At 36.5% G+C, this 24,861-nt stretch overlaps 1 long non-coding RNA gene across 2 annotated transcripts in view; it reads right to left on the minus strand.

Annotated features, from left to right (window-relative positions):
- Window positions 1–24,861, minus strand: part of LOC105369711 (uncharacterized) — an 81,818-nt gene that overhangs the window by 9,663 nt on the left and 47,294 nt on the right. The window contains exon 3 of one of the 2 annotated variants that reach the window (XR_931466.3): window positions 15,057–17,436. The exons of the other annotated variant lie outside the window; for it this stretch is intronic. This is a non-coding gene — a long non-coding RNA (uncharacterized LOC105369711). Of the gene's footprint in view, window positions 1–15,056; window positions 17,437–24,861 lie in introns of those variants that run through there. 2 annotated transcript variants of the gene reach the window in all.

Below are 24,861 nucleotides of genomic sequence, written 5' to 3' on the forward strand. Positions count from 1 at the left end.
CAACAGTTAAGAAAAACAAGGCCTCCAGTTTTAAGTTTTTCTTTTCTTTGCCAGAGCTATCTCTTTAAATGCAATATAATTGTTATGTCTTCCAAATAAAAATTTAGTCTATGATACTTTTAAAGTAAATTCTAATTGCAGATATTTGTTGATTAGTCCTTCTGAATTTGTGATGTGCAATTCTATTAAGAACAATGAATACAATAATTTAGCTGGTTTGAATTTGTTTTCATATGATTTCAGGTGTAAATTCTCTCACTGAAATACAGTTGAATGTGTCACTGTAGATCTAATAATACTTGCATTCACTTAATCTGATATATATCATATATATGATACATATTGAGTTAAATTTATAAATTATACCTAAAAATTTGCACATATAATTAATGACCTGTTTGACATTTTTCCTGACATCTTCTATATCTCCTGTTTTCTGTGCTTTCTGATTGTATTTTTTCCGACTTTTTGTCGGAACATTTGATTTTTCTTTACTCTTTCTTTCTTCTAATGGTTTGAAAATTATATATCACATTTCTATTGTATCTATAAATACACTTAGCATTTAGTAAAAATGTTTATTGAGAACATTGAGTGAGCTAACTGCTTATCCCTTTTCCTCTTTAGATTTTAGGCTCACCAAGAAACAGACATAGAATCCTGTTAGAAATTAAAAGTGGATTGGAGAAGAAACTGATGCTGAGGCTGAAACAAGGCTTCTCACCTCTCTCCTACAAATTGAATATACCCATGTAAGAAGAGAAGCAGAGAGAAAGGGGGTTGCCCAGGTGAGCTAACCTCTTGGTTAAATAGGAATGTTTAACAGCAGCAGGAAGCAAAGAGTGCATGAGCAACTTCCAGCCATGAACAGAACCATTAATAGCTTCTACCCAGCCTCATGAATTAGATAAAACACCCTGAGGTTATTTCAAGACCTTTGCAGCCAGGCACAGTGGCTCAAACTGTAATCCCAGCACGTTGGAAGGTTAAGGCAGGCATATCGCTTGATGTCAGGAGTTCAAAATCAGCCTGGCCAACGTGGTGAAACCCCATTTCTAGTAAAAATACAGAAATTAGCCAGGCATGGTGGTGGGTGCCTGTAATCCCAGTCGGGAGGCTGAGGCAGGAGAATCACTTGAACCAGTGAGTGGAGGTTGCAGTGAGCTGGATTGCGCCATTGCACTCCAGCCTGGGCAACTGAGCGAGACTCTGTCTCAAAAATAAATAAATAAATAAATAAAAATAAGAACTTTGCAGACCCTGGCAATCCTTATTTAGGAGGCCCTATATGCAAATTAAATGGATTTAAACATACTCCCTTATATGTATCTATAATGTAGATATAATTTTTAAAAATAATCTTCAAAACGCTTTTGTGATTTTGGTTCTGAAAAATATTTAGCCCTAAATAAATTCTAAAATGTATGCTTAGCTGTGATTTCTTGGCAATTGTTATGCAGAGTGAGATATTCTGATGAAATCTATAAATTGTTTCCAAAAGTAATTAATTTTTCAATATCACATTTAGTAATTAATAAAGTTAATATATGGAATGCTTTTAAGCATATGATTATATATTTGTTAAAATTTCAACTTTGCAGCTTTCTTCTTTTGGAGAAAGCACTTTTCTTCCCCCTCAGTTTCAACATATTCATGGGTCCCAGACACTGGACCTATAGCTCTTAATCGATAACACAGTTCTGTGGGGAGAAGTCAGAGTGGGTTGAATGACAGAACATTTTCTAAAGCTTCCTGGAACATTTCTAGAACAATTTCCCAGAACATCTCCAAGAAGATAAAAATTTCTGCTTTAGGGACTGGGGATGGGATACTTGAAGAGTTAGAGAAGAACTTCCGATGATGTAGCTATATTTCTCTATTATGTCTTCATTTAATTGGTATCTATTTTCTTCCACAAATATGGAAAAAAATATGTATTGTGACTTTACTTCCTGCTGAGAACTTCCGTGTTGAAATAACTTATAATTTTTGATTCAAATGCTACTATTTTTACATATGATCACCAATTATTTAAACTTAAGATTTACTGAATTTCTTGCTTTTCAAACAAGATTTACTGTTAGATTCACCGTTTTTCCTGTAGGTCTTCATATTAGGTAGATGATGAAATTCTGAGCATAAAAAGTGGGTCTAAGGCTATAGATTCAAAATTATATTTCCTCAGAATGAGGGAGTTAATTGTTCTGTTTTTTTTTTTTTTTTTTTTTTTTTTTTTTTTTACATTCAATGCTGTCAGTAAAAAGTTTGGTTGACAGTCTTATTTTTCAATACTTGATAGACAACATATTTTTTCTTTCTCAAGACTTTTAGCATTTACTTTATATCCTCGATACCTGAAGATGTAGGTCTTGATTAATTCATCCTGCTCAGCACTTGGTTGATTCTTTCAATCTGAAGATTTGGGCTTTCTTCAGCTGTGGGAAGCTTTTTCTATTGTTTCTGTAACTCTATCCTTGCCTCAGTTTCTTCCGTGCTCTACTTCTGTAACTATTACTAGATAGCTGTGAAAAATTCTGGATCATCCTTGATGTCTTCTAGCTCTGCCCCACATATTCTTTGTTGCCCTTTTACATTGCATTCCTGTAGATTTATGGAGCTTAATCTATCAGCTCTATTTTACTCTTCAACTGAAGGTTGGGGTGGTTGTAGCAATTTTTTAAAATAAAACAACAATGAAGTTCGCTACTGTGATTGATTTTTCCACTCACAAAAAAGTTTTCCATAGCATGTGATGCTGTTTGATAGCATTTTACCCACATTAGAACTTCCTTCAAATTTGGAGTCAATCTTCTCAAACCCTGCCACTGATTTATCTGCTAAGTTTCTCTATGACTTTAAGTCCTTTGTTGTTATTTCAATAATATTCACACTATTTTCACGAGGAATAGATTCCATCTCAAGAAAACTTTCTTCCTCATTGATAAAAAGTAACTCTTCATCTGTTACAGTTTTCTTTTGCTTTTTTTTTTTTTTTTTAGATGGAGTCTCCTCTGTCACCCAGGCTGGAGTGCAGTGGCATGATCTCGGCTCACTGCAAGCTCTGCCTCCCGGGTTCACACCATTCTCCTGCCTCAGCCTCTCGAGTAGCTGGGACTACAGGTGCCTGCCACCACGCTTGGCTAATTTTTTTGTATTTCTTAATGGAGACCGGGTTTCACCGCGTTAGCCAAGATGGTCTCGATCTCTTGACCTCATGATCCGCCTGCCTCAGCCTCCCAAAGTGCTGGGATTACAGGTGTGAGCCACATCTCTTACAGTTTTATGATGAGATTAGAGCAATTTAGTCACATTTTCGGGCTCCACTTCTAACTCTAGTTCTCTTGCTGTTTCTATCACAGCTGCAGTTACTTTCTCCACTGAAGTTTTGAACCCCTCGAAGTCATCCATGAGGGATGGAATTGCCTTCTTCCAAACTCCTGTTAATGCTGATATTTTGTTTCTTTCCATAAATTACAAATGTTCATCTAGAATGGTGAATTTTTCTTCAGAATATTTTCAGTTTATTTCACCCAGTTCCACCAGAGGAATCACTGTCTATGGCAGCTATAGCTGTAACAAATGCATTTCTTAAATAATAAAATGTGCAAATAAAAATTACACATTAATCCATGGGCCGAAGAAAGGATGTTGTGTTAGCAGGCAGGAAAACAACATAAATCTCCTTGCATAGGTCCATCACAGCTCTTGGGTGACTATGTGCATTGTTAACGAGCAGTGATATTTTGAAAGAAATCATTTTTTCTGACCAGTAGGTCTCAACAGTGGCTTAAAATATTCAGTAAACCTTGGAGCAAAGAGATTGTGCTGCCATGCAGGCTTCATTGTTTTATTTCTAGCACACAGACAGAATAGAAATTATCATCATTCTTAAGGGTCCTAGAATTTTCAGAATGGTAAATGAGTGTTGGTTTCAATTTAAAGTCATAGCTGCATTAGGATCAGACCTAAATGGTTCTTACAGAGACTTCTTCTGCTCCTTATGTTTCTTAATTCCAAACGTGTAGAAGTCCCAGAATTCCTCCAATCTCTTTTCTTTTACCTTTTTCCACATATTTAAGCTCTGGGCTGTGGTTTATTTTCATTGATCTGATCCTAACAAGATAGTCATCAGCCTGTCCTTTGAAGCGTTAGAGCCAGACATTGACTTCTCTCTAGCTAGGAAAGTGGAAGATGACATCTTCTTCTAATAGAATGGGGCTGGATCACTAGCAACTTCTCCATCAGCACTTGCTGCTTCACCTTGCACTTTTGTGTTATGGAGTCGACTTCTTTCCTTCAACCTTGTGAACAAACCTCTGCTAATTTCAACCTTTTCTTCGCAGCTGCCTCACCTGTCTCAGCCTTCATAGGATTGAAGAGAGTTCTGGATTAGGCTTTGATTTAAGGGAATGTGTTGATTGGTTTGATCTTCTCTCCAGACCACTAAAACATTCTCCATATCAGCAATAAGGCTGTTTTGCTCTCTTATCATTCATATATTCATATATTCACCACAGTAGCACTTTTAATTTCCTTCAAGAATTTTTCCTTTGCATTCACAACTTGGCTAACTGGCACAAGAGGCCTAGCTTTTGGCCTATCTCGCTTTTGATATGCCTTCCTCACTAAGCTTAATCGTTTCTAGTTTTTGATTTAAAGTGAGACACATGCGCCTCTTTGTTTCACTTGAACACTTAGAGGATATTTTAAGGTTATCAATTGGCCTAATTTCGATATTATTGTGTCTCGGGAAATAAGGAGGCCTGAGGAGAGGGAGAGAGATAGGGGAATGGCTGGTTGGTGGAGCAGTCAGAACACACACAAATATTTACCAATTAAGTTTGCCGTCTTACATGGGAGCTGTTCATGGCACTCCAAAACAATTATAATAGTAACATGAAGTATCATTGATCATAGATCCCCATAATGGGTAGAATAATAAGGAAAAAATTTGAAATATCTTGATAATTACCAAAATGTGCCACAGAAGGAAGCACAAGCTATTTTAAAAAATGGCGCCAATAGACTAGCTTGAAACAGGGTTGCCACAAACATTCGATTTGTGGACAATGCAGTATGTGAGAAGCACAATAATGTGAAGTGCAATAAAATGTGGGATGTCTGTGTATTTTCTAGGATATCTGTTCTTCTAATAATAATCTCAGCTATACAATGGAATCTACTGATAACTATTTAAAAATACTGATGCTTTGGATCCATCCCAGATATTTAATTAATTTATGGCTTAGTCTGGACATCAAAGTTAAAAAAAAGGTTTTCAGGTGATTTTAAGGTTGAAAAATGCTCTTCTATATGTTGAGTTATATGCCTCTTATTCAGGCTTGCATCTTCTTGCTTTGTTGTGTTTTTCTTTGTACTTGTGGTCTCTGTTCACCTGATAAAGAATGCTTTTTCTGGTTCACATAGCTTGCTTCTGTGATTGTGGCCAAAGAGAAGATCATTGTCAGAACAAAGTGTCCATTTCAGTAGTGGAGAATCCCTATTCAATATGAGTATGACCAACTGTCTATGATTTCTCTGCTCCAAGTACCCACACTGTCCTATTCAGTGCTTGCTTAGCACAAGTTAGGGGAGAAGCTTTATCTGCCTATGCACTATGAATGCTGTTTGGTAGCCAGTACCCCAGATGGTTTTTATAGAGAATCCTTCTGCTCCTTAAATTTTTAATTCTAAATATGTAGAATTCCCTGAACTCCTCCTACCCTTTTTCATTTACTTTTTTTTTCATATGTAAGCTCTGGAGTGTGGCTTATTTTATTAATCTGATCCTACCAGCTTTTAACCTTTCAGGGAACTCCTCCAAATTTCTGGGCCATTATTGAACCTTTTTCTTGTTTCCTGGAGGAGTTGTGGATTTGAGAGGCATCTTCTCTGTTCTTTCTATAGATTTTAAGTAGGAGAAGTAGATAGGGACATGCTTGATTTAATTTCCCTCCTTACATTACATAGCATGTTCATATATGCTGTATAAATGTCCTTTATACATACAATCTCATTTAATTGTAATAATAATCTTGTCAAAAATGTATTGTTCCCATTTTATAAATAACAAAATTAAGGGTTTTAGACATTCATTGGGTTACCACTGGTTCCACAGCCTTTTGGTGGCATAATGGAGACTGGAGTTGAGATCACCTGAATCGAGTTCAGTGTTCTCACTGTACCACACTGCCTTAAAAATATTCTCAAATCATTTACATTTTCCACAAAAGCTCATATAAACTTGTAGATTCCTTTTATTCCCCTTCAAATCTCTGAACAGGTTGATACTGGCTGGTAGTTACTCTAATGTGTTTCATACAAATAGGCTGGTTTGACACCCATATCTTGAGTAAACAGTCAAATTCAATAAACATGGAGAGTCAGTACTCATTTGGATAGAAAATTCCTTTAATTTCTTTGGATTGTTAGAACAGGCACCAGCAGAATTCTGCCTTCAGGAGAAAGCATTTCTTAGAAGTATGGTGGTATACCCATCTATATGAATGTACAGTGACCATCATCTATTTGGCTGGTTAGAAGATGTAAAACAAGCAGGTAAATACAAATGTGGGAAGGTAGGTCTTTGTTAGGCAACAATATACTTCAAGTGATGAGGCATGAGGATTATCTTAAACAATGAAGATATACAGTTTCTTCGTTCTCAGAAGTGCTAGGAGAGAGAAATGAAAGGCTAGCCAAACTGGAAGAGGAGGACCAAAAGTCTTGCACACTATAGTCAGAGCAATTCTTACTTTTGAAATTCAAACTTTCCTTTGAGTTTAGTGTTTAAAGGGCAATTGGCTGAAATAAAAATAACTTTGGTTAAAAACAAGTGGTGATTCAGTTTAAATGCTGAACAACATTCAGCTTCAACTGTTTTGAGAACAAGCTTATGCTGTGGGACAATTTGGATTAACAGTATTAGAAAGAAACCTGATCAAGGTCTTCAGTCTTTATCAAAAGAGATGAGTTTAGTGAAGTTAACTCCTTTCATCTCACCCCATCTAGGCAAAAACAAAGGGGACGGAGTGAGAAATGGAAGTTTAGCTAGATCTTTATGGCAAACAAAAAGTTTAAATAGGTTTTGAAGCTTTTTATAAAAAGATCTCAATCTATCTGTCAAGGTCATGAAAAGTATTTGTCTTTTTATTCAGACCTCATGATTAAAAGTACACTGGTATTCAGAATTTGCCAGTGGACAGTTGGGGTGGATAGAAGCTTCTTTAAATATTCCATATCACACAGTCATATAGTTAGCTATTTAGGTATTATGCCTTCTAAGCTATGACCAGTCAACCCCAAAACACCTCTGTCCAAAGACTTGATTCATCCAGATACAGAGATAAATAGAGTTAAACAGTTGAAAAATTTATGAAAGAAATGGGCTTGGTCTTTGGTGTGCTCAGCCAATTTTCTGTATTAGATTAATCATGTGCTTGTTATTCTCTATTTGTCCTGCTAGATCTGCACTCCACCCTTTTCCACTTTTCTCTGTGCCCAGGAGATTGATTTATATGGAATTCATCAACTGGAATCTTTCCTTGTTCTCTTTCATTTGCATTTGGCCAATGAGAGCCACTGGCAGGAGGCTTGAGGGTGGTGGGGGGAGGGACTGGAGTATTTTCCTTGCAGCCAACTTCCTTCCTGGCCAGGACTTGGCACTGGTTGCCTTCCTCTAATGAAGGCACTGTTTCCATCAGTGGTCCTCTCCTACAGCCTCTGCTAGAGCCACAGCCTTATCTGAGATTCCCTTTTCTCTTCAGGGATACAGACCCTTGCTGTTGCTAGCCTCTTGGTGTTTCTACTTCTGTTATTATTATTTTTTTTCAGTCCTGGCCTCATCACCATAGATAGTCTCTTCATTAACTCTGCTTAACAATGTTGTTTGGGTGTGCAATCTATGTCCTGTCAGTCTTAGATTGTTACACCACCTAAATCACATCTTCTGCAGATGTAAAAAGGGAGCTGGCACTAGTTAAATTGTTAATGAAATTATCCACCATCTATGTTTAATTATCCAATTTCAGTATATACATATAGTGGTTTCAGAATAGTCAACCCATGCTCCCATGGGAAACAACTTTACTAACTAAAGTACAGTGCTTACATGCAGTTCCTTTGCCTTTAGACTTATAATCCACTTATTTCCAAAGCTAATAGCTTTTGCTAAGTAACTAAGTTTGTTAATAGTAACTAATATTTTAAAATTTTATTTTATTCAAGAAATCTTGTTTGGTGTTAACTATGAGTCACACATGGAATTTACGAGTCTAGTGGGAGGGATAAACTAGTACACCTAGCCTTTACTTTACAAATTAATTTATTTCCCAAAACACTGCTGTTAAGTTCAAAACTGTTAAATAAGAAATTATTTCCATTTATTTTAATGGAAAAAATTTGATTTGTTTTTTCTTAATCCCAAATGTACAATTTTCAAAGATAGAAAGAAAAAAATATTAATGGAACAATTTAAACAAGTTCATGAATTAATTTATTTCCAAAACATTGCTATTAAGTTCAAAGCTGTTAAATAAGAAATTATTTTCATTTGTTTCAATGGAAAAACTTTGATTTGTTTTATCTTAACCTCAAATGCACAATTTTCATAGATAGAAAGAAAAAAAATACTGATGGAACAATTTAAACAAGTTTATATAAGGTATAAAACTTTGAAAGTGAAAAAGTAAAGTTTGTATATAAATTACAATGCTATAAACATTTGTTACATTTTCCAAAGTAAGAAGGAAAGACTAGATGCTAGATGGCAAGTGGTAATTGGGAATCTCATGGACAGCACAAGTTTGAGAATGCACAGAGTATTGAGAGAGGGACTGAGAGGAAAAAGTGAAAAATAAAGTCACTGGTATCTCAGTTCCTCTGCCTCCTACATCTCATCTTTTAAAAGGGTGTGCAATGTTCTTTATCTCCTTCCTCCATCAAATCAAAGAGTGATCTGATGATAGTTGTGTTATAGGATAAAAATATTATCAAGATCAAAGCCAAAACACATCATTAATAAGAGCTACCAGGGCTCTCACATGTTGTATAAACTGAAGTCACTGCCTTTTCCAATCTTAGGTCCGAGGCCTGAATTTATAAATCCTCCAAATGGAGGTGTTCCCACCATTTCTCTCCTTTTGCCTCACAGGACCCCATTACAGGGCTCCATTCTTACACTCTCCTCACCAATGGCTTCCACTGTTCTATTTTATTCTCTGCTTCCATTATAGTTTGGTGAACCAGTGCTTATACCCAGAGCTGACCATTCCATGATCTGGAGTTGTGTTGTCACAAACTGTTCAGCAGCAGGGACTGGCTGTTCCTCTGGGGAAAAGAAGGGTACTGCTACATATGGGCTGCCAAATGGGAGACAGATGGGGGGATGATAGGGATGATATTGGAGTCGAGGGATGGGGAACTCTGTAAGAAGGCCAGGAACCTCTGTGTGAGTCTACTTGAGAGGGAGGGAAATGGAGAGAGAAACTGGGCTGTTGGGAAACCTATTCTGAAAGCTTCACTTTTGGATAAACATCAGTATGTGAAGATGAAGATTAAGCTGTGAATAGAATGAAAGAAAGAATTTACATTTATGTTGCTTATAGCAAAGAGGAAAACCCCAAATTCTATTTCACTATTAAAAGTAATTTCCAAAACAATTGTTCCATTTATTATTTATGATGACTCTCAAATGCATATGAAGAGTTGAGGCCAGGAGCAGTGGCTCGCGCCTGTAATCCTAGCACTTTGGGAGGCTGAGGCAGGCGGACTACCTGAGCTCAGGAGTTTGAGACTATCCTGGGCAACATGGCAAAATCCCATCTCTACTAAAAATTCAAAAAAAAAAAAAAAAATTAGCCGGGCATGGTGGCTCACGCCTGTAGTCCCAGCTACTTGGGAGGCTGAGACAGGAGAAATGCTTGAACCCGGGAGGAGGAGGTTGCAGTGTTCCGAAATTGTGCCACTGCACTCCAGCCTGGGCAACAGAGTGAGACTCTGTCTCAAAAAAAGAAAAAGAAAAAGAAAAAAAAAAGAGTTGGTTCATTAATCCACTTGTTTATTCAACAAGTATTGATCACCTACAATGTGCAAGGGTCTGAGCCATATGCTGAGGACATAAAAGTATATCACATGGTTCCTATGCTTGAGAAGTTCATAAACTTGCTGTGAACACAATGAAATAGCTATCTGTAATGGAGAAAAATAGTTGTTACAACTATCATGATAATGTTATGATATGATGACATATGTTGTAGCTGTCATATAATGTTATGACAGTGACTATGATAATACATAGCTGAAGAAGTAGTTTACCTTATGTCAAAAGGTGGATTCCCCGGAAGCAGATCTTAAGGCAAGGATTTTTACATAAATGATCAGTTAAGGAAGTGCTCCCAGGAAAAGCTAATAAAGGCATGGAGAAAGTAGGACAAGGAAGGAAAAGAAACTGAGAAAGTGTGCAAATGTTAGGCAAAGTTGCAGTCTTAGTCTGATACTGTAGGGAAGTTGCAGAGTTTAAATAACACCTCAGAGTATGTTCAACTGGAGACAAAGGGCATGAGGCTTTCATACTCTGCATCAAGCAGTTATTGACTATGAGCTACCCTACAGGGGGAAGACATAAACTCCCAAGCACTCTCTATCTCTCTAGATGCAGGCAGAGTAACTCCAGCAGCCCAAGGGCAGACTCCCAAAAGGGTCTTGGGTGCAGGGACAGGACTGTTATAAGCAAAACTGTGCAGGAGCTGGGGGACTGATGTGTAGAAATGGAAAGAGAGCTTCAAGGGGATCTCAGCTGGGCACCAAATGTATCTGCTGTATCCTGACAGACAGGATTGGGGAAGACTGCAGAGGAAGTATCATTTGAGGGGATCTTTGAGGATAAGTAGGAATTTTCCAGGTGAATAAGGGAGAGAGCAGCATAAGCGAAGACTTGCACTATATAGACAAAAGCATGGTGAGGATTAATGAATGCTTGTATCTGCTCAGCCTTCTGTTAATTATGTGGGAAGGCTGCTGCTCACAACATCCTGGTTTTTTTTGAAGCTAACCTAAGATATTATATAATTTCATCCATAAATATGTCAGTATGTAGCTCTAAAAATAAGGGTTCCTTTAAAATATCATTAAATACAAGCATGCCTTTTTTCATTGCACTTTGCTTTATTGTGCTTCACACATATTGCATTTTTTAAAAGTTAAAAGTTTGTGGTAACTCTCTGTCTAGCTAGTATATTGCTGCCGTTTTTCCATCAGCATGTGTTCACTGCATATCTCTGTGTCACATCTTGGCAATTCTCACAATATTGCAAACTTTTTCACTATTATTTTATCTGTTATGGAGATCTGTGATCAGCGATCTTCGATGTTACTATTATGATTGTTTTGGGGTGACAGGAACCACACCCATTTAAGATGGTGACTTAATTGATTAATGTTGTATGTGATCTGAGTGCTCCACTGACTGGCCATTGCCCCATCTCTCTCCCTCTCCTCAGGTCTCTGTATTTTCTAAGACATACAATATTGGAGTTAGGCCAATTAATAACTCTACCATGTCACCTAAATGTTCAAGTGAAAGGAAGAGATGCACATTTCTCACTTTAAATCAACAGCTAGAAATAATCAATCCTAGCAAGGAAGACACGTCAAAAGCCAAGATATGACAAAATCTAGGCCTTTTGTGCTGGCAAGCGAAGTTGTGAATGCAAAGGAAGAATTCTTGAGGGAAATTAAAAGTGTTACTCCAGTAAATGTATGAATGATAAGAAAGCAAAACAGGCTTATTGCTGATATGGTGAAAGTTTGACTCTTCTGGATAGAAGATCAAACCAGCCACAACATTCCCTTCAGCCAAAGCTTAATCTAGAGCATGACCCTAACTCTCTTTTACGAAGGCTGAGAAGAGTGAAGAAGCTGCAGAAGAAAAGGTTGAAGTTGATTTAGCAGAGGGTGGTTCATGAGGTTGAAGGAAAGAAGCCATCTTCATAACATAAAAGTGCTTAATTAAACTAAATAGCTTCTGCACAGCAAAAGGAAGGCAGCAGATTAAGCAGACAACCCACAGAATGGGAGAAAATCTTCACAATCTATACATCTGACAAAGGACTAATGTCCAGAATCTACCACAAACTCAAACAAATTAGTAAGAAGAACAAAGAATCCCATCAAAAAGTGGGCTAAGGACATGAATAAACAATTCTCAAAAGATGATGTACAAATGGCCATTAAACATGAAAAAATGCTCAACATCACTAATGATTGGGGACATGCAAATCAAAACCACAGTGCAATACCACCTTACTCCTGCAAGAATGGCCATAATCAAAAAATCAAAAAATAATTGATGTGTGCATGAATGTGGTGAACAGGGAACACTTCTACACTGCTGGTGGGAATTTAGTACAACCACTATGGAAAACAGTGTGGAGATTCCTTAAAGGACTAAAAGTAGATCTACCATTTGATCCAGCAATACCACTTCTGGGTATCTACCCAGAGAAATATAAGTCATTATACAAAAAAGATACTTGCACTTGCATGTTTTTAGCAGCACAATTCACAATTGCAAAAATATGGAACCAGTCCAAATGCTCATCAATCAATGAGTGGATGAAGAAATTGTGGTATATATATCTATACAGTGGAATGCTACTTAGCCATAAAAAGGAATGAATTAATGGCATTTGCAGCAACCTGGATGAAACCAGACTGTGGTTCTATGGAAAGTAACTCAGGAATGGAAAACCAAGTATCATATCTTCTCATTCATAAGTGAGAGCTAAGCTATGAGGATGCAAAGGCATAAGAATGATACAATGGACTTCAGGGCCTCAGGGGAAAGGGTGGGAGGGGTGTGAGGAATAAAAGACTACAAACTGGGTTCAATGTATACTGCTTGGGTGATGGGTGCCCCAAAATGTAACCAAATACCACCTGTTACCCAAAAACCTATGGAAATCAAAAATTTTTTAAAAAGTGCAAGATGGAGCAGTAAGTTCTGATGGAGAAGCTGCAGTAAGTAATCCAGAAGATCTGGGTAAGATCATTCAAGACGGTGGCTACACTAAATAATGGATTTTCAATGTAGAAGAAAGAGCCTTTTAATGGAAGGAGATGCTGTCTACAACTTTCCTAGCTAGAGAGGAGAAGTTAATGCCTGTCTTCAAAGCTTCAAAGGACAGGCTGACTAATGCATCTGGTGACTTTAAGTAGAAACGAAGCTCATTTACTGTCCTGAAAATCATAGGACCCTGAAGAATTGTGCTAAACCTACTCTGCCTGTACTCTATGAGGTAAGCAGCAAAGCCTGGATGACAGCACATCTGTTTGCAGCATGGCTTACTGAATATTTTAAGTCAATTGTTGAGACCTACTGCTTGGGGAAAAAAATTCTTTTAAAATATTACTGCTCATTGATAATGCAGCTGGTCAACCAAGAGCTCTGATGGAAATGTACAAGGAGATTATTGTTGTTTTCATGTCAGCCAATACAACATCCATTCTGAATCCCATGGATTAAGGAGTTGTTTTATTATGATACTCACTTTATTGCAGTGGACTGGAACCAAACCCTCAGTATCTCCAAGGTATGCTTGTAATAAGTATCACCATTAACAATGAACAATTGTTCATTAATATTATCAAATTAACATTAAATTCTTAATATCATCAAATATCCAGAGTTCAGATTTCTCTAATTGCATTTTTTAAATTATACTTTAAGTTCTGGGGTACATGTGCAGAATGTGCAAGTTTGTTACATAGGTATACGCGTGCCATGGTGGTTTACTGCACCCATCAACCCATCATCTACATTAGGTATTTCTCCTAAAGCTATCCCTCTTCTAGCCCCACACCCCCTGACAGGCCCCAGTGTGTGATGTTCCCCTCCCTGTGTCCATGTGTTCTCACTGATCAACTCCCACTTATGAGTGAGAACATGTGGTGTTTGGTTTTCTGTTCCTGTGTTAGTTTGCTGAGAATGATGGTTTCCAGCATCATCCATGTCCCCGCAAAGGACATGAACTCATCATTTTTTATGGCTGCATAGTATTCCATAGTATATATGTGCCACATTTTCTTTATCCAGTCTATCATTGATGGGCATTTGGGTTGGTTCCAAGTCTTTGCTATTGTGAACAGTGACACAATAAACATAAATGTGCATGTGTCTTTATAGCAGAATGATTTATAATCCTTTGGGTATATATCCAGTAATGGGATTACTGGGTCAAATGGTATTTCTGGTTCTAGATCCTTGAGGAATCTCCACACTGTCTTCCACAATGGTTGAACTAATTTACACTTCCACCAACAGTGTAAAAGCATCCCTATTTCTCCACATCCTCTCCAGCATCTGTTGTTTCTAATTGTATTTTATATGTGCATTTATGTATGATACAAAATATGTTTGCACTATATATTAGATATATTTATATTTATACATAAACACATAAATGTGTGTGTTTCCAGTCAGTTTGTTTGATACAGGATCCAAACAAGATTTACACATTAAATTTAGTTTCTATGTCTAATTATCTTGTATTCTGTAGGTTCCCTCCTAGTACTCACTTTGTTTTTCTAGCAATTTATTAGTTGGGGAAAACAGATTATTTGTTCAAGTGTCTGCATTTTGGATTTTCATGATTGCATTACTGTGATGTCATTAAAATGCTCCTCCATTCTGTGTATATTATGTAAACTAGTAGTTATATTTGAGGCAATTAGATTTCTTCATTTGTTTGTTCATTTGTTTTACAAGAATACTTTCTAGTTGGAGAGTTGAATATTACCATATCTCAAAACTATGTATTTACTTCTTGACTTACTAACTGTACTTTAGAAATTTACCCTCAGGAAACACCCCCACCCCACCCATAATACAAAATAACATACATAGCAGAGACATCTCCAATAACAAAATATTTGGAACAACCTAAATGCCTGTGTTTAGGAAATTGATGAACTAGACCATGGTACCGCCACACAATGTACCATAAGTCATACAAAAAAGCAAAAACAAAGAGAAAAATGAAAATCTCTATGACCTAACATGGAACAATTTTCAGTATTTATTAAGTGAAAAAATTCAAGGGGCAAAATGATAGATAGAGTACACTACAGTTTGTATAAGAAAGCATCATGTATATGTTTATACACTTATATGACTATTTTTACAAGAAAGAAATAAAGGATTGGTAAACCATCAGCTAAAGAAAATAGTTAACTATCTTTAGAGTGACAACTGGATGGGAGAGTAGACAAAGGGATGACTTCTCAGAATATACCTTTTGTAAATATAAAGTCTTTACTTTTGAGTCATGTAGATGTTTTACTTATTTAAACATGGTGCATGTAGACAAAAATAAAATTTAATTAAAAATGGTTGATGACAAATAATTTCTCGTTACTACAGAAAGCTTTTCCTCATATCTATCCTTTCTCAAAACGCAATTTTACAACTAATGTATCTTTCACTGTGGATCCCCGAAAAGGAACATGTCACTTTAACTCTCTGCTTAGAGTTATCTAATAAAATTATAGGCTTAGGCAGCATTTTTTTGTGATTATAACCATAATTTAATTGATTTGTTTAGTGCTCAGAATATCTGAAAGTGATATTTTGACACAAGATGTGGGCTCATATTTTACGAGTTGTTCAAAATTGAATTGACATGGTAGCATTCCTATAGGTCTGCTTTGAAAGAGAATATTAAAATCATACAGTTGAGAAGGTGGACACACAAAATAACTTGATCAAACATGCTGAAATGTTATATTTAAAATAATGTTTCAGGGGATCTCAAAACAAAAATATTTATAAATGGTGGCATTTATTATAACCTAAATTAGTAAGATGTTCCTTTATAAGCCTAAAATAGAAAATTGCTTCTCTCCTCTAGATGGTCAGTCTATTTTGCGGCTGTATTATGAAGTCATCTTTCTACAATTTTGAGAGCTGTTAAAAGCATTCTCAGATAATTTGGACGGGCAAGCAAGGAGAGTAATTTTTTCTTTGTAGGTGAATGTGGAAAAATAAATGGAAAGCTTAACAGTGATACCACAGAGCATATCTGCAAGGCCACATCAGAGAGGAGAAAGAACTGTTCCAATGTGGAGAGGGGTATTCAGTGTGCATATTGCTGACTGAGATGTTTCGAAATGTGCTTGAATGGCTTAGATTGTGGAACAAGTATGCTGCTCCAGAGGTGTCAAATTATTTCTCCTCAACTGGAAGAATCAGCACTTTAGTGCCATAATTCTCTAGACTTTGGCAAATGTCTTATCCATCATTGGTATATATGCCCTGCAAAATGAGAGAATTTTTCAGTGATGTTATGTAAAAGTAGAACATTTGTTTCCTGATTTTACAAGGGGAGCGTGACTGTTTGCCTTTATCTAACATTTAAATCATCAATGGAGGGGGCCCTGAAGTCTTGAAGGATTGGCAAGAAGATAGCAAGTCTTTCACATCCAGGAGTTTTATGGCACCTGGGTTCAGATAAGTGGCATCACCCATAGTTATTGTTCTCATGATGTTTTTTATAGACTCTAATACTACTTATGGCTTCCCTTCAAAGATTTTTTTGGCTTTCATGATATGGCACAGTCTTGACTGTTTTCTCACTTCATTTCTCTTCTGTCTTGCTTGATTTTGTTGTATAAATCTTCATTCTCTTACCCCAGATTTTCTATTTTGTTTTATAAACTATTTAGTTTTTAAAAACACCTTTTCAGTTAATATTCCTGGGATTTCAGAGTATACCGTTATATCAAATGCAAATGGTGATAATTTTTATCCCCTTTTCAAAAAGCGTATTTATCTTTTCTGCCCTATTTTTTTGCCAAGGCCTTATATAACAGTATTAATGGAGTTGAAAATTTGAAATTCCATATTTCTGATGCAGTGAGACCTTACATTTCCCACTGTGCTCCAGAAATTGCCTAGAGGTACAGTGAACTGTAGAATATCACAGAAGCCACTGGACCCAGTATCACCACGGTCAGCTCCTACAGGTAGCCTAGGAGGAGGAGGAAAATTTGGAGAAATCATCAAAGACTTTTATCATCTACAGTTTGGAACTCTTCAGGGAGTTATTCATGACTTTCCCAGGTGAACCAGAGAAGTCTCTTTTTTGGTAGGAGAGAGCCTTTTGAGGACATCGGTTGGCTGGGCTTCCTTGATACTGACATGTTCAGCCACAGGCAAGTTATAAAGGGCTCCCTCCTCTTGTGTGGATAATTGGATAAACCTCCCATTTTCTCTCTCCTGCCTGTTTACTCCATATTGTCTGAACTCTTCACTCCACATTTGGTTCTTGTCTCTATGTAGACACTTTGAAATTGATGCTTTGCTTCCTGAAATGCTTATCTGAGATGCTCTTTATAGTTCCTCTTTTGTCCTGTGTCTTGAGAGTTACCACTTTCTCTTCCCTAGGAAGGAAATGAAAATTGATCTTGTTTAGGAGCATAATCCCAGAGGGGTTTTGATTTGTTAATATTCTAGTTAGATTTGAATCTATATTAATTAGAGATGGTGATCTATATATAGTTACTTTTACTATGGTTTAGAATAACTTAAACAGTATTTGAATTATGCAGTAGTATGGTGGTGTTTCAAGTAACCAGCTCTCAGGGCTGGGGGATATGGGTGAATTGCCCTAGTTGGTAGTGAATGCCAATTACTGTGGTGTAAACACTTTCATCATAGCCGTCAATGTAATGTCACTGTACCTGGAGTTGGGAAAAGACACAATTAGCTCCTATCCACTGTTCTAAGAATCTCCAGCACATCCCTGGGATTATCAATTCTTTAATGATAAGAAGGTGTGAACCCAGCCACTTTCTTTACCAGAATATATTAGAAGATTTGCTAGTTGTTTACTACAGCCTTTTCTCTTCTCTCCCTGGCACACAGATGATTTTGCAGCTTCCTTTGCCTGCTGCCTTAAATGTGGCCCAAGACTGGGTTCTGGCCCAGAAATGTAGGCAGAATTTATGTAAGTCATTTTTAAGGCTGGCCCATAAATAAACTTCCTATCTGATTCTTCATGTTCTTTTCTTCCATTGCCTTCCTGCCAAATGCAGAGGGTAGCAAACATCTACCAGGGTCTAGAGAACGGCAGATCTAGTTTACAAGATGAAAGAGCAAGTGGCCCTGAAACATTGCTTGGGGGAGTTAATCACACCTGTTTAGAATTGATGTAGCTAAGATATATACTTCCATTTACTAACGCACTGAGGTTTCTGGGTTTATCTCTTGTAATAAGTAAGTTACTCTGATTGGTACCATGGCAAAGCTTATTAATTTATTTCATATGTCTTCCTTGGAAATTAATATATTCATGTTTCTACTTCATGACTTGATTTTGGTAATTTGGGTTTGCTAGAAAATCATTCATTTCCTTCTCGTTTACAAACTTGTGGCTGTAGAATAGAACATAATATTTGCTTTAAATCCTATTCTCATTTGATTTGTGTTTATGTATTGTTTTGTATACTACTTCAATTACATTATTGTATTTTTTGTTTTAATTGGTTTATTGGTTTTTTATAGATTTTATCCGTTTTCATTTTATTAGTTGTCTTCTACTCTTTTCAAAGAAGCTGCTTTAGAAATTTTGTGTGTGCTTCCTACTATTTTTGATTTTTTAAAAATTAATTTCACCTTTTAACTATATTAAATTTCTCTTACTGCTATCTTACTCTTACTGTAATTTCATATACTATCTCTTAGTGAAATTTTATATAATTTTCATCAGAGAATGTGACCTGTAAAATCTCTAAGAAAAAAATTTCAGCCAAGTATCAGATTTTTATAATTTTTGTGAATGTTCATTGGATGCGGAAAAAGCTTATTCCCAATTTTTAGGGTACACACACACACACGCGCGCGCGTGCACACACACACACATGCAAACACACACACTTTTGTTGATCAGATTACGTGTTGTCTGCTAGATCTATGAAAAAGTGATATTAAAATAGCCTGCAAGAATGAAATTTTTAATCAAGTTATTTTTGAATTTCTAATAATTTTGGTTTTGTTGCACTTGGATTTATTTCTGACAAATCTCCTTCATAAATTTCACCCTTTATCATTACACACCTCTCTTTTTGCTGTCTTTGAAGTGTTTAACCTTAAAGAAACAAGCAGACAGATCTGCTTTCTGTTTGCTTTTGCGCGTGGTTGCTTTACTTATCTTAGTGTTTTCCCCGTTCTTTTATATCACTTAGATTTAAGAATGTTTCTCTTAAACAGTAGAAAGCTATCTTTTGTTTCTTTATTACATTTTGAGTATCTATGTCTTTCAGTAGGGTAATTCATACCACTGAGATACTTGGTTTATTCCAAATATATTAATTTATTACTATATTTTTAGTTCGTATCTCACTTATATTTTCTTCTTTTTATTCTTATTTGGTTGTTGTTATTAATTTAATTTTTTCTTCTTTTGCTACCTGTCAGCAGGAAGTAGGTTGTTGTTAAAAGTTACTATTCATTTCTGTTTTCCCATTACCAGTTCAGAAGTTCTATTATGCTTTTCAATTCTGCTAATAGTTATCTTCTTATCCCTAAAATTCAAAAATATTCACCTATTTCTCCTGTATTAAATAAGTATCAAATAGCAATATCATGACTCATAAAAATATGGTCTGCAAATTGAAAAAGCACAAAATCAGGATAATTTTTCTCTACTATTTCTTTTATTATTGCCTTTCCATATTTTCTGTTTCTTTCATTCTTTCTGGAGATTTTACTATTTACATGATTGGCTACTTTGTTCTATTATATGTATTTGCTTAGTGACCATCCCATTTTTAGTTTATTTATTGATACTTTTAATATAAAAATAAGGAATTATATTTTGTTATAGGAACTCCTTAAGTCTGCATACTATTGTTATTATTTTTGCTAATATTATCGTCTGTCTCAAACAGCAATTCCGTTTCTTTAGAGGTTTCTCTAGTCTAGGTACTCTACTTGCTATTCTTACTTTTGAGTTTTGGGTCCCCTTATGCATGTCAACATTTACCTTTATCTACTCATAGTTTGATTAATCTTGGGGTTCACATAAAGCCACTTGGGCCTACTAAACAGTGACAAACAGATCTGAAGGAAGATTCAGCAGTCTGTGCTCTGGTGAAATGTCACACTGAGTAGTCAGTGAAAATGCTGAGCTGAGTCACCAGGGAAAAGCTGTCTGCCTCCATGCTTCTGTGACTCCAGAGTTATGACTCCCAGTTTCAGGGAGAGACATAGCTCTCTGGGGTTCTGTCTGATATAGCAAGTCTTTCTAGGAACACACACTTCAGGGCTGCATGGGTCTCTTGTGTATAGAGAGCTCCAATCCTTCTTCCTTGTCATTGGTTCTCTGGTTCCCATCTGCTCCAGAAGGAAATGAAGGGATGTGCTTCGGTAGAGATTATGGCCCAGCACATACTTTCCAGGCTCTGAACACCTTTTGGTACTACTGTTCCACTGGACAAATGGATCAGAGTTAGAAGAAGGAGTGGATCTATCAGAAGACTTCTCAGCAGAATTCTTTTATGTTTCTTGGTAGGGGAGTCTAGCTTATTTGTCCTGTTTTCTTTATTTTCCTTTTTATATATAAACAACGAGTTGTTTGCTTTCATCTTTTGGCATGACATGCAAAGTAAAAGTATTAAATTATGTTGGTGGTTGTATTTCAGCTTAATGAATATGTATTTCATCCTTTATTTTTTCAAATTATTAAGATACCAGCTTTTGCTTCAAGGGAGCATGTCTAATGATCGGGTGGTCTTTGGAATCAGATTCCTTGTGTTTGAATTTGATGTCCACTACTCACTAGCTGTGTGACTTTGTTAGCTTCCACATATATAAAATGAAGACATAACCTCATGGGGTTGCTATTTGAATTAAATGAAATAATATAGGTAAGGAACCTAGGGCAGTACTAGAACACTGTCTAGCACACAGTAAGAATTCAATATATATTATCAGTATCATTCTTAATCGTAGTTTCACCATTATTTATTCTTCACTCATTGTTTTATTTGATGTTCGTGATTACCTCCACTCCTTTTTTATAGAAATGTTTTCTACAGGGAATGTTCTTTTAAAAAGTATTAAGTGAGGGACATATTTTACATGCACAAAACACTTTTGGTCATAAATCTAGTTCAGTAGAGATCCAGCACCAAGTGCTCATAGAAACAACAAAGCAAGCATGCTTGCATTACAATATAACTACTTATTTCTAGTGGTGTAATTTATCACAACAGTGGATGATAATGGTAATAAGAATATGTATAAGGCGTTGATATGGTTTGGCTGTGTCCCCACCCAAATCTCATCTTGAATTGTAGTTCCCATAATTCCCACATGTCGTGGGAGGGACCCGGTGAGAGGTAATTGAATTATGGGGGCGGTTACCCCCATGCTGTTCTCATGATAGTGAGTGAGTTCTAATGAGATCTGACGGTTTTATAAGGGGCTTTCCCCCTTTTGCTTAGCTCTTCTTGCTGCTGCCACGTGAAGCAGGACATGTTTGCTTCTCCTTCCACCATGGTTGTAAGTTTCCTGAGGCTTCCCCCGCCATGCTGAACTGTGAGTCAATTAAACCTCTTTCCTTTATAAACTACCCAGTCTTGGGTATGTCTTTATTAGCAGCGTGAGAATGGGCTAATACAGTCATTGTGATATGTAACTATTATTGGTGATACAATTGGTGATTAGTTAGCAAAGCTAATTGTAATCTGTTGCTGGAATTCCTCAGTAATGTTTAAGTTTCATGGTTATAAATTGCAATGCCTCTCTGCTGCCTTCATTAGTGAGAATTTTGTAGAAAAAATGATTTAAATCCAGATTTTCTATTTAAATTATTGTTTTTATAATGTGTTTTTAAATAACCTAGGTTTCTTATAAATATAGTTATTACCATATAGTAGGATCAATTGCATCATGACATTTCTTTTTTTTTTCTTTTTTGAGATGGAGTCTCACTCTGTTGCCCAGGCTGGAGTGCAGTGGCACAGTCTCAGCTCACTGCAACCTTTGTTTCCTGGGTTCAAGCAATTCTCCTACCTCAACCTCCATAATAGCTGGGGGTGCAGGTGTGCGCGACCATGGCCAGCTAATTTTTTTGTATTTTTAGTAGAGACAGGGTTTCCCCATGTTGGCCAGGCTGGTCTTGAACTCCTGACTGGAAATGATCTGCCCACCTGGGCCTCCCAAAGTGCTGGGATTATAAGCATGAGCCACCACGCCTGGCTCCATTATGACCTTTCTTGATTTCATTTTCTGCTCAACTGAGATGACTATTCAAATAATTTTCTTGGGAGAAGGTATATGTTATTACGTCCCTGAATCTGAAAACATCTTTCTATAACTTTCCACATTAATAATAATTCAATCACATAAAATTGTGTTGTAAACTTTTTTTAATCTGGAAGCTTGTAGGTATTTATTCCTTTAAATTAAAAAAAATTCTAAAATTTATTTGTGTGTGGGATACATCTTCTTTCTGCAACCTGCTTCTCAATACTGCATGTAATTTTACATGAAACTCACAAATCTTTTTAATCTGCAGACTCAGATATTTGCATAACCAAGGGCATTTTTCTTACTTGCTATAATTTACTAGTTTCTTTTTCTACTGTTCTGTTCCTGTCTCTTCTGGAGTATCTATAATTCTTCAATGGGCTTACCTTCATCTGTCTTTCATATATAACAACTGTGTTATCATTTTTATCTGAGAACTGCAACATCCCTTATAAATTCAAAATTTTTCTCTAATGTTTTTATGTCTTTGTTACCTTGACTAAAACCAGGCTATTCCCTGAGGTCAAGTTCTCCCCAAGTCTTCTGATGTCTGACGTAAACAGTGTTTTTCTCTTACGTCCCACATACATCAAGGCCAGAAGGTGAAAGTAGGTGCTCTTCCTGCTTGCCATTACTTTCCAACAATTAATCTCCTTTTCTACTGAAACAAAAACTAAACCCAAAACAAGTCTAAGCAAGACTTATTCTTTGAAATGCATGCCATCCAGCTGCATTACTTTCCACTCCTGCTGGTTGCTGTATCTATTGACCCTTACTGGTCTCTCTCCTTTATTGATTAAAAACATTAACTCCAGATTCAGATGCTCTAACCATTCTGTGATGAGTCTTTTTTGCTCTTGCTGCTTTCATGATTTTTTTTTCATCTTTGGCTTTTAGCAGTTTGACTCTGATGTGTCTACGAGTGGATCTCTGTATCCTACTTTGAGTTCATTGTACTTTTTATTGCTTTCATTAATGTTCTTCATTGAATTTGGAAAGTTTTTGGTCACTATTTCTCGAAATATTTACATGTATTTATTTTTAACATTTAATTTAATTTTTAATTTTTTAAATAAAAAAATAGAAACGGAGTCTCACCATGTTACCCAGGCTGGTCTCAAACTCTTGGGCTCTAGAGATCCTCCCACCTTGGCTCAGGAGTTCGAGACAAGCCAGGCAACAAAGTGAAATCCCATCTCTACAAAAAATACAAAAAAATTACCCGGACATGGTGGCAGCTACTTGGAGCCAGAGGTGGGAGGATCGCTTGAGCCCAGGAAGTCAAGGCTGAAGTGAGCTCTGTTTGTGCCACTACACTCCAGCCTGGGTGACAAAGCAGGATTCTGTCCCCAAAAAATTTTTTTTAAAGATTGTTTTTCACTATTTTCTCAGTGTGATGCCCAGTAGGCACTGAATCTGCAGATCTTAGGCACATATTTTCTCTTTTCAGATTGACTGGTTCTATGACTAAACTAAAGCCTCAGATGCAGTTACAATGCTCCTTTGAACTACACAGAACATGAGAAACTTCACCTCCTGCACCAACTGTGCCTTCTCTTTATGCCCACTCTTGCAATATCTAATCTTAGGTGACAAATTTTGCCAGGATATAAACTTTCTCTACCTGTGCACTTCCTTCAACTTCTTTCAGTGATGTCCAGGAATGTATGGGAGAGCAGAGAAATGGCAGTGACTTTGCCTGATACAAAATTCCTACGCATTTGTCGAATGGGCTCCTATCTTTCTGAGTAGCACACACCCTGCTCCTCTGAATTGAGGCAAAATTTGTCTTACCTTCTTTAGGGCCTTCTGCCGGGTTCTGAATCAGAGGGTGGAACCTATGTTCTGTAATCCAAGAACATGCATGCCATTCCATTCTCATTCAGTGGAAACTCTTCCTGCATTTTGGCCTATGGCTTTTTCATGTTTTTTATTTACAGCACTGTCATCACTTTGACTTTTTGTTTAAATTCATGGATATTTTAATTTAGTGGGAAATTTGGAAAAGCCATATTAGACACAGTGTCTGCCAAAATTATAACTTGTAAACATTGGTCTCTTATTTTGTTTTTAATAAAAAGCTGTGATATTTGGAAGAGGACACCATCCTTTTGGACACATTCTGTACAGAATCTAGGTTTATGTTTACCAATTTTTTCCCATCTCCTTTTATTAGGACAAAGATATGAAGGAAATGGTATTTGCTGAATATTGAGTAGCTCATATATGACAGCTATGGCATGAAGCATTTTTACATATAGTTTTGTACTTGATCCTGACAAAAACCCTGCGTGTAGGTATTTTCCCATTTGAATGAGGAAACTAAGTCTTACAAAATGTAAGAACCTTTTCATAGAAGTGTGTGGTGAAAATGGAATTCAATCTAAATTCTTTTGTCTCCAAGCATTGAAGTCAGAAAAGTCAATTTCCCAGTTCCATGAACAACATTGTGTTATTTCTTCTGCTCCCACATGGATTGGTCTTGTCCTCTGTGTAGCAGGGCTTATGGGCACTGTGGGCATTTGAATTGTGATTTTACAAATGGAGTGGGC

The sequence above is a fragment of the Homo sapiens genome, chromosome 12 (assembly GCF_000001405.40).
Source record: "Homo sapiens chromosome 12, GRCh38.p14 Primary Assembly".
NCBI lineage: Eukaryota > Metazoa > Chordata > Mammalia > Primates > Hominidae > Homo > Homo sapiens.